Here is an 11,860-nt window from a genome sequence, read left to right on the forward strand (position 1 = left end):
AGGGACCCCAAACGGAGGGACCGGCTGAAGCCATGGCAGAAGAACGTGGATTGTGAAGATTTTATGGACATTTATTAGTTCCCCAAATTAATACTTTTGTAATTTCTTATGCCTGTCTTTACTGCAGTCTCTAAACATAAATTGTAAAGATTTCATGGACACTTATCACTTCCCCAATCAACATACTTGTGATTTCCTATGCCTGTCTTTACTTTAATCTCTTAATCCTGTCAGCCGAGAAGGATGTATATCATCTCAGGACCCTGTAATAATTGCATTAACTACACAAATTGTACAGCGTGTGTGTTTGAGCAATATGAAATGTGGGCACCCTGAAAAAAGAACAGGATAACAGCAATTGTTCAGGGAATAAGAGAGTAAACCTTAAACTCTGACTGCTGGTGAGCTGGGCAGAACAGAGCCATATTTCTCTTCTTTCAAAAGCAAATGGGAGAAATATCGCTGAATTCTTTTTCTCAGCATGGAACGTCCCTGAGAAAGAGAATGTGCACCTAGGGGTAGGTCTCTGAACTGGCCCTCCCGGGGCGTACCTGTCTCTTATGGTCGAGATTGCAGAGGTGAAATAAACTCCAGTCTCCCATAGCGCTCCCAGGCTTATTAGGAAGAGGAAATTCCCACCTAATACATTTTGGTCAGACCGATTGATCTCAAAACGCTGTCTCCTGATAAGATGTTATCAATGACAATGGTGCCCAAAACTTCATTAGCAATTTTAATTTCGCCTCCATCCTGTGGCCTTGTGATCTCGCCCTGCCTCCACTTGCCTTGTGATATTCTATTACCCTGTTAAGTACTTGATGTCTGCGACCCACACCTATTCGTATACTCCCTCCCCTTTTGAAACTCCCTAATAAAAACTTGCTGGTTTTTGTGGCTTGTGGGGCATCACGGATCCTACCAACGTGTGATATCTCCCCCGGACGCCCAGCTTTAAAATTTCTCTCTTTTGTACTCTGTCCCTTTATTTCTCAAGCCAGCCGACGCTTAGGAAAATAGAAAAGAACCTACGTGATTATCGGGGCAGGTCCCCTGATAACTTACATAAACTCTTATACACTTATATAAACACACACTTAATATAAACTCTTATATTTAAGTGGCAATTCTGAAAATTAGTGATAAGAACCATAAGGCATCCAGCACATTTTCTGATCCATGTCAGGTGCTGCATTAAAGATGATCACAGGGAAGATGGCAGCTGTGTGTGCTGTTAATATCTTCATTTTTCAGATGAGAAAGTGAGAGGCAAACAGGTGTGAGCCTAACTTTAGGTCACAGCATTGGTGATGCTGGGTCCCTAAATTCAAATCCTAGTCTACTAGTTTCAAATTTCATACTGCGTATCTGATTTTAAGAGTATCATGAAATGTCGTGATTGTACGTGGTAAAAGTTAATTTATCAGTTATCTATTACTACACAACAAGTCACCTCAAAACTTAGTGGGATTTTTTCTCAAAATTCTGTGGACTGGCTGAACTCAGGCAATTATTCTGCTGGTCTTTTATGGGTTCACTGATGTAGCTATAGCATCTGGAGGCTCAACTGAGGCTAGAGGGTCTAGGATGGTCTTATGAACTTGTCTAGACTTAAGGTGCACTTTGGCTGGGCATCTCTCTCCATGTGGTAACTCATTATAGAGCAGTCTAGACCAGGCTCCTTAATATGTGACAGGTGAGTTCCAGGAAGGCAAGTACTGATGCACAAGTACTTATTTAGCTTCTGTTAATGTCACATTTGCTGAATTCCCATTGAACAAACTAAATTAAATAGTTAAACCCAGAATCAACAGAAAAAGGAATTATACAAGAAAGTGAATGGTTAAAGGCATCCTTCCTTAAGATGCATTAACGTACAACACACCACAATGCTATGAATGGGGCGCATGCATCAGATGAGGTTTTAATTGGTTTAGAACAAAGATCAGCACACTATGGACTGCTTTCATTTTTTTTTTTTAAGTATTGAAGTATAGCCATGACTGTTTTTCTGTGGAGGCTTTTGTGCTATAACAGCAGAGTTGAACAGTTGCAAGAGAGACCATTTGTCCAGCAAAGCCTGAGATATTTACTATCTGGCCCTTTATGGAGAAAGATTGTAGACCTAGGATGCCTAGCAGGCACTCCATTCATGCATCACATAGTTCTACACCAACTCTTTCTGCTTTAGCAACCTATTCCATTGCTAAAAATACTCTTCAGCCTCCCTTTCTTGGAAAACCATAACTTATTCTTGTTTTTCAATATATGAGCTCTATTGTTTTTAAATGTTACTACATCTTTATTTCACTAGACTTTAACCTTAAAGTAGTGTTAAATGTAAGTTATAATCACTGCAGTAGAGCCCTAAGGATGATACAATCACTTTACAACAAGGATGCCTATAGGCATTCCCTGTGGTGTAACACTGCGTGCTGTAATTCCGAATGAAACTTTTAACTTTGTAGCAATAAACAAATATAATGAGAGAGCACTTTGTTTGGAGATTCATTTTGATGTTTTGTATTAGGCTCCCTCTAAATAGCAATAAGGCTTTGGAAAATAAATTACTTTTTTCAATTTTGCTGTGGACCCTACAGACAAGATGCATTTAGAGGAGAGTTTATGAAATGCTCCAGGAGACTGAAATCCTCCCTTCTGCTCTCCTGGCATACTCTGTTGACAATATAGTGACTGGAAACTCTAAAAATATAGAAGTCATTTGTCTCTTTATGGAAACAGCTTACTCGAGTATCATATTACTTATTAAATCAACAGCTTCAATAAAGCACGTCACCCCACTCCACTACACATTACGATTTAGTAAGGATTAATGTTTGCTTGTCAGCTGTAAAAATTTTTCCTCATTCCTTTAACCTAAATGTGCCCTTTTATTTTAAACCATCTCTTTGCTGCTGTTGCTCCGTCTACCTAGAATGCTCTTCTCTTTCTAGTCACCTAATAAATAGCATCTGAAGACCTTTCTTATGCCTCACCTTTCCTTCAAATCCTTTTCTGGTTGCCCATGCAGTTACCTGTAAGGAAAGACAGCCTAGATGGGGCTCTGGCTCTGCAATTATCTCCATTTGATCTTGGGAAAGTTAATCTCTCTGATCCTCAGTTTTCTATCTAAAAAAAAAAAAAAACAGGAAAAATACTACCTTCCTTGTAAGACTATAAAGATAAAAAGATTATGTTCAAAATAACAACAGCAACAACAAAACATGGGCTTTGTGAAGGGCTAGAGTAGAAAAAAAATGTGAATTTTTAGCTCTCCCTTTTTCTTTTTTTTTTTTTTGTAATTGTATATCATTTGTCCACATGTCTACTTTAGTACCTATCTTTTTTAATGCAATAGTTATTTGTTAAAAAACTCTTCACATATTTCTAGGTTGTGGACATCATGATATAATAGATTACCATTTAACTTCTTCTTTAACTGACACTTTTCCAGGAAGGCATATTATGAATAGTAAATTGTATATGGAGGGAAGGAAGGAAAGAAGGAAGGAAGATAGTATAGAATCTGGAAAATGAAATTTGTGGATTATTAATGTAACTGCACATAAAGCCATGCCTGTTAAAAGAGTACAGTTGGCAAAGGAAACTCTATAACTGATCAATATTTTAAAGAGATAGATGAATAATTCTGAAGAAAATTTTAAATGACTTTCCAACCTTCCTAAAATTCTAGGACATAATCATTTATTTTGAAAGCTTTCTTCTCTTGCCATAGTTCAGTGCTTTAAAAAATAATATTTGGTGGAGTAGATGGAATAAATATTCGACCGATTGGCAGCAAAAATGGAAAAGTCATTCTTATTCAGTGAAGAATGTGGCAGAATAAAAGCTCAGACGGGGTAGACCTGGTCTTTAAAATGCAACCTGTCTGCTGTTTGAATTCCCAACCCCATTTGAATCCCCAATTTCCACAGCCCTTCCATCTGATTCTCCTGAGGGGCTTCCTGAGAAGTGACAAGTCTGGATTACTCAAAATATTGGCACCAGATCCATCTTCCGAGGAGGGGCCTCTGGTGTGTCTAGTTAACTTTCTGTACACCGAGTGTGAACACAGAGTTGCCCTCATTTGTCGTCTGCATTTTGGGTCCCTCTGCTTTTAAGTGAGGCCACATTTAGCTCACAAAACCAGTCAGTCCTCAATTTCTCTTGCTCTGCTGAGTTCTTTCTTCCATTTTATTACTGTTTGACCCAGTCCACATTACTCCCACTCCTCTTTGTGCAATTTTTAAGGAGTTAGATACCAGCCAAGCCTAACTGGGCATTGCCACCACCACCACTGCTATCTCTGCAGGCTTGTTGTATCTCAGGTATCTCAGCCTGATGTCGTCTGCTCGGCCATACCTGAGCCTGCAATCTCAGTCTCACACAGTCACTGTGGACTTCATTTAGCATCAATATAGTGACCATATGATTTGCTGTCCAAGCTGGGACACCTTCAAGAATAAAATAAATATTTAATAAGTTTGTCCAGACAATGTATGTAAAACAGGCCCATCTGGAAAAAAACAAGTATCTTCATCCTTGCTCAAGTTCACAGATCTGCCATCTCTGAGCCCTCTATTCTCCATTCTGGTCAGCTAGATATTATGTAGCTCACCTTCCAGTAGCTAACAAAAGCTATTATCTACACTTAAGAGCTTCTAGCCAGTTTTGAAGTGCACCAAACAAATCCCAGTTAGAAAAGCAGAATCTATACTCCTTTCAAACAGAGGGAAGTTACTGTAAGGAATTGGATACCTAGGTGATAGAATTGTTGACAGGCACACAGGAGGTGGTGAAGCAATTTAGAAATTAGGTAAGCTGCTACCACCCTCTAGAAGAAAAAATAAAAGAGAAGGCAATGTCTTCAGAGCTCAAGGTCCATGGCTTTGCCCAGTGAAAATTAGAATCAAGGGGAGTCTGCCGAACGGGTCCCAAAATTATAGAGGACAGATTTCTTGCAAGAGAAAAAACTTGAAGAAGAAAAAAATGGAAGAAACAAATGCCCTTACTTCTATGTTCTTACTGCCCTCCAGTCTCCTGCCTATGCTTCCGCTGGGTGAATCATAAAAATTCCAGCTTCCAAGAAAGCCCATAAAAAGCCATCTATTGAGGTCAGCTTGGCTATAAGGAGCAGAACAGAGCTAATGACAAATTTCAGAATCAACAGATGACTGCAGCACAATAATTTCATCAAATCCACATAAATGTGTACCTCTTTTGTAGACTGTATAAATCATGTGTGAACAACCTGCTTGCATTTCATTGACACTCATAGAGACCACATATGAATGTAATTGGAACTACTGTGTTTGAGTCAATTTTCTTGCAAACACTAAGTTAGAAAAACTCGTTGCTATTAGCATTCAATGCATGACAAATAACAATATGATAGAACAAGGACAAGGACAAGGGAAAATAACAATGACCTGGCCAAATCACTCAACTAATGCTTCTACCAAGGGAGCATCAATCCAACATGACTGATTACCTCAAAGAAGTTCTCTGCAGAGAATATTGATCAGAAAATCTCTCAGGCAGAACTCACCCCAGATTGCATCCAGCTCCTCAGTGAAGACCATCCAGGGAGACCAACTGCTGCCATCATCCAAGAATTTAGAGATTCTCAGTCGCTGCAGGGAAAGGCATGAATCTGTGCCATGACAAGATTTGGGCATACTTAAATTCTGGGGAAGTTTTGTTTTAATGATGTGTAGCAACGGTGGCATATATTAAATTCATTGACTTTGGAGTAAGAAAGACCAGGATTTGTGAGCCTAACTTCTTAAGTTATTAGCAGCTTGACCCTTAGTCAAATTTTGTAAATTCATATCACTATTACCTATCACATAAGATTCCTGCAATTGTATACTGAAATTACAGTTAGAGAAGGCCCACCACATAGTCAGGTCTATAAATGTTAGCTGCTATTATAATTTTCTTTATTATTTTTAGTCATTCTTCTATTAATGGAAATTGGCTGTCCCCAAATCTGCTGAAATTGCCGTTTGCACTGAATCCTTGAAGGTGGGAAGACAGGCTAAATAAAGGATATCAAAAATAGACAGTCAGACATCTGAATAAGATAAAACTAAACAAAAGAAAAAACGTTCTTTTTAAAAATGATGACAAAATTCAGTAATACTCCTTAGCTTGAATTACAGAAAGCAATGAGGTGGGAAATGTCAAATTCTTTCTAAAAGAAAAGAGAAAAAATAGACCAATGATACCATAACTCTTTTTTCTTATGCCAGCTTCTTCTGAAGCTTGCATAAGTGTTTTTGTCTTTTTCTTCTTTTAAACCTCTCATTTTTGTTAAATTGTAATAAACTTTTTTCTACACACTTACCAAATACTCTGCTCATTTAGGCTAATATCTGTAACTGCGTTACAGTCCTGAAATGCTAGTGACATGTACCTTATGATTGAGTAAGAGAGATATTATGTGGGCAGGGAAGAGGAGAAGATGGGGGATTACTTTGTTTGACCTCCCTTGTCTTCACTTCCCTCAGATCTTTTGCTATTTTTTACACTTAACTGATAAATATCAACAGTATTTTCTATTTATCCCTCATTCTTTCCAGGGAGAGTCAATTAAAACTATTCGAAATGACTTCAAAATGCCCCATTCTCCTTGCCATAATGTATGTGGTTATGAAATTGAAAAAAAATAACATAATAGGATAATAAAACTGATTGAATATTATGTTTCATTTGTATGGTAAAGGAGATTAGACTATCAACAAACTGCAGGTGAGTTAAATGGATGTAGAATTGATAGTTTAAGAGCATTTTCTTTAATGTCTGTTCTTTCATTTACTGTATAATCTTTGACAAGTCTATCCATATTTTCAGGTCTTAATCATCTATAAAATTAGACATTTAGCTAGAAAATCTCTGAATTTTTTTAGTACTAACAATTTAATGATATTACATGTGTAATGACACTTGCTATATATATATATATATAGACATTTATATGTGTGTGTGTGTGTGTGTGTGTGTGCATGTATATATAAGAGTGCATCTTCACTGGGGTGGTGGATACATAAGCCAACACAGAAGATAAAATTGCACAGAATCAAATGCATGCATACTCATATATGCATGTGTGTGTAAACACACATACAAGTAAAACCGGGACTATATGAATAACGTTAATGGATTATATCAATGTCACTAACCCGTTTGTGATATTATAGTATAGTTTTGCAAGACGTTATTGGAGAATCTAAGCAAAGAGTAAAGGGGAAATCTGTATTTTTCCTACAACTCATGTGACTCAAACATTATTTCAATATAAAGTTTAAGATGAAAGAACTGCTAGAATAATAAGTGCATTTTGAAAAGTCTGATGATAGAGAGTCAAAATAGAAATACCAGTGGACTTTTGACATACTAGCAGTAACCACTTAGACTATTAAATTAATAAATACATTATATTTACAATAGGATCACACCTCTAATACCTAGAAAGACATCCAACGAAAGCTGCACAAGATCTATACACTGAAAAATAACAACAAATACCTAAATAAATGGAGAAGTATACCGTGTTTATGGATTGAAAGACAGTATTTTTATGATGTTCATAATCATCAAATTGATGCCAATTAAAAGCAGCCTCTTTTCAAGAAATCAACATTAAAATTATCATTAAAATGTTTATGGAATTGCATATAATGTAGAATAGGCAAAACAATCTTAAAAAAGATAAAAACTGTGCAGCACCTGCACAACCTGATTTCAATAATTACTATAAACCTAACACATATAAATTAATGTACCATTAGTGAGGACGTAGGCATATGGCAATAGTGAGTCACTGACATGATGATGAGCCTATTCACAGTGTGACAGAAAAGAATGTAGAGAAATAGACCCACCCACATCTAATCAATACATTTTTTAATCAAGGTCTGAGTTAATGGGGAAAGAAAATCTTTTAAGAAACAAAAACAAAAACAAAAAATAAAAAACAGTGCTGGAAAATAATGGGTATCCATTTGAAAAAAAAATGTACCTGAGCCCCTCTTCACTCCAAATACAAAGTTTAATTTTCAATAGATCAAAGTCCTAAATAAAACCTCTGGCCTTAAAATTTCTAAGAAAATAATTAGAGAAAACTACAGTCATAAACTTCATGGCAGGAAAAAATTTCTTAGTACCAAGAAAGCTATCTGTCTATGTATGTATCTATGTATGTATGTATCTATCTTTGTGTCTTTATGTCATTATTCATATATGATGAGTACATACACATATATCCCTTATATGGACATGTATTAGTTTTCATCTACTTCCAATAAAATATAACTAATTCATCAAAATTTTAAAATTCTGCTGAAATAAAACAGTGTTTATAAGTGAAAAAGAAAAAATATCTGACAGCTAACATCATACTCAGTGATAAAAGACTGAAAGTTTTTCCTCTGATATCAGGGACAAGTCCAGGATGCCTACTTTCAATGTTTTTATTCAACATAGTACTGAAGTTGTAGCCAGAGCAATTCAGCAAGAAAAATATAAAAGGCATCTAAATTGGAAAGGAGAAGTAAAATTATCTCTATTTACAGATGACATAATATAATATGTAGAAAACCCTAAATATCTCCTCCCCAAACTGTTAAAAGTAATATAGAAATTTAGTCAAGTTACAGCATAAAAAAATCAACACATAAAATCAATTGCTTTTCAATACTCTAAAAATGAGCTATCTGGAAAGCAAATCAAGATAACTTCATTTATAATAGCACCAAAATAATAAAATACTTCGGAAAAGTTTACCAAGGAAGAAAAATGCTTTCACACTGAAAACTGCAAAACATTTATGAAAGAAATAAAAAAGGTGGGGGGGGGTTGTCAGAAAGATGGTAGACTAGGTGATTACTCACTTATATCCCCCATAACAAGAAGTCTGCACACATCCACGGATAAAGTCTCTCTGTGGGAGCCTTGGGGTTAAGGTGCAATTCTGTGATATCCTGATGGAGCCCCAAACCTAAGAGGGTCATTTTGAGAGTACAGACCCACAACTAGGTGGCAGACCTGCTCATTTGGCTCTGGATTCAGACCCAGAAATAACCTCACTCGCCAAAATGCTTGCACATAGACTCAAGTTGAGTAGTCAAATCTGCTATCAGAACCATCTGTCAGGCCATCCAGGAAGAATCATGCACACTAGTGCCTTGGCAGACAAACCCACTGACATTGGTTTCCACTGTGGGTTTAAAAGTTATCATGTCGTTTGTCTCCAGCCCCACTCAGATATGGCCCGTCTAAGTACAGCTCAATCAAGGACCCAGAAAGACTCATTCATTTGTGCCACTGGGACAGGGTTGCTGGACTCTATCCCACAGCAGATCCTGAAGGAATTCTGTCTCTGTCTCAGACCCTCTCTGCCACAGCCTAAAAATTATCCCACTCACGGAGAGAACCCCTGGGACACATGCCAATCTGAGCCTCTGAGACAGATATGCCAGCTTCTGTCCACAATAGATCTTGAAGAGGCCCGGTCTCAGCTCTAGTCATTCTCTGCTGCAGCCAGGCAGTAATCCCAAAGGCACAGGAATCTGCTGGGAGACTCACCTGTCTATAACTTGATGCTTATCACTCACCAGACTTGCCACTCTCAGTCCCACACAGATCCTGAGGGAGCCCTGTCATGGCTCCAGCCCCTGCTTGCCACAGTCTGGGAGTACTCCCCTCAGAAATTTGCTGATATACTAGTACATTTCTGCCGTCTTTGTAGGCTATCTAGCTTCCAGTCCACAGCAGATTCTGAAGGGGTCGTGAAAACTCAATTCCAACCCCTCTTGGTTGCAGTCAGAGAGCAATCCAAATGGCAGAAAGAACCACTGGAAGGTGCAACACTCTATGCCAAGGGGATAGTCTTACTGAGCTCCATCTCAGATCTGATCCAGAAGGGGCCCTGTCTGGGTACTGACCCTTCTCTGTTGGAGTCCTGAAGTTATCTTGCCTATACAGGCAACTGCTAGAACACATGCATGGACCTGTTTGCTGGCCTCTCTCATAGCAGATCTTGAAGTGACCCTAAATCTCAGGTTCAGCCCCTTTCAGCTACAGTTTTGGAGCAATCTTGCTCTCATTGAGGTCTGCTTAGATTCTCACCCCTAGTACGACTGGAACAGACTTGCCAACACTGACTGCACCATCCGTTCTGAAGTAGTCTTGAAGCTCAGTTTCAGGCCCTCACAGATGGTTTGATAGCAGTTCTGACTACCCAGGGTCCCTCTGAGAGACATGCCTGTCTGAGTTCCCATGGTAGGCTTGCCAATTTCACTACCACAGTATATCTCAAATGGCCCTGGCTCTTGGTCATGGCCCCACTAGTTGGCACAGTGAAAGCAGCTCTGACCACCTGGAGACCCGGACTGAGGCCCATTGTGCATTGCTTCTATGGGGTAAAACCCTGACCTTGATCTCATTTTTTATCTTTAAATAGCCCTATAAACTGGCTACAGCCCTTCTTGACTGCTGTATAAGAGTAGGCCTGCTCACCCAGGAAACTACTAGGAGATATATATACCTATAATCTCAGCGACAGCCTTGAAAATCTCAGTCTCAGTTGTGGATTCTAAAACAATCTTGTGTTTCAGTTCCAGCCAATTTCAGTCATAGATGTGGAAGTGTGTCCAACTCAGAGACACATCAGTGATCCAACAAGAGCCCTCCAAGAAACCTGAAGGAAGCCATATCCATAAGCATTCATGGTTATCCGAAATATCTCTTAAAATCTCAGAGTGGATCATTATCCCACTGAAAGCACCCCACACAGATCAAGGGCCTGGAGACAGTCTGGTTCACCCAGGGACCAGATATGACTTACACCCACTAGAGCCCCTGGTAATGTTCACCAACTGTAGTCTCCACTGTCAATTCAACATCAGCCAAGACACATGAATGCAATCCCGCTGAATTGTAATTTCTGAGGCAATCCCATCAGCCTAGAGACCTAACAGAAGAGGACTTTAACCTGGAAAACCAGTCAATAAGACCAAAAAAGAGATTTGTTTGTTCAAGCACAGATACCAATGCAAGGCTATAGGAATAACTAGAATCAGACAACATAACTACCAAAGGAAACTTAAAAAGCTCTAATATCTAACCCCAAAGAAATGGAGATGTAAAAATTATCTGAAAAATAATTCAAAATAATACTTTCTAAAAAACCCAATGAGATCCTACAAGATACAGATAGGCATTGAAATCCAATTAGAAAAAATACTGCATGAGTAAAATAAAAAGTTAAAAAGGAAATAGAAACTATAAAATATAAACAGAAATTATGGTGCTAAAGACAATACCAGAACAGAAAAACTTCTAGTTTCAAAGGCAGATTCAATCATTCAGAAGGACAAATTAGTGCACTTGAAGATAGAATATTTTAAATTTGCCAATTAGAGGAACCAAAAAATAAAAATGGAAAATTAGTAAAGGAAGAATAAGGGATTTTTAGGACACCATCAAATGTATAAATATAGGAATTGTGAAAGCAGCAGAAAGAAAAGAGAAAAAAGAGACAGAAAGCTTATTAAAAAATACTGTCTGAAGGCCTGTCAAATACTTGGAGGGATATAGACATGTACTAAGAAGCTCAAAAAACCAATACAAAACAGATCAATTAAAAATGAATAACCAAGACATAATAATTACATGGTCAGAAGTCAAGGACAAAGAGAGAATCTTGAAAGAAGCAAGAAAGAAGAAAGTTGTCACATATAAAGGACCTTTTATAAGATCATTGGGAGATTTCTCAACAGAAAGCTGCAAACCAGGAGAAAGTGGAATGACATGGTCAAAGAGCTAAAATAAGATTTAAAATAATGTCAACCAAGAATGT

The 11,860-nt window shown here is 37.9% G+C and overlaps 1 annotated feature.

Moving 5' to 3' along the window:
- Window positions 263–970: an enhancer, noted in NCBI's record as "OCT4-NANOG hESC enhancer chr4:11981013-11981720 (GRCh37/hg19 assembly coordinates)". NCBI's record gives its function as "activates a minimal SCP1, AML or CMV promoter by ChIP-STARR-seq in primed H9 embryonic stem cells {active_cell/tissue: H9 hESC(primed)}" and the evidence as "EXISTENCE:reporter gene assay evidence [ECO:0000049][PMID:30033119]".

The sequence above is a fragment of the Homo sapiens genome, chromosome 4 (genome assembly GCF_000001405.40).
Source record: "Homo sapiens chromosome 4, GRCh38.p14 Primary Assembly".
Classification (NCBI taxonomy): domain Eukaryota; kingdom Metazoa; phylum Chordata; class Mammalia; order Primates; family Hominidae; genus Homo; species Homo sapiens.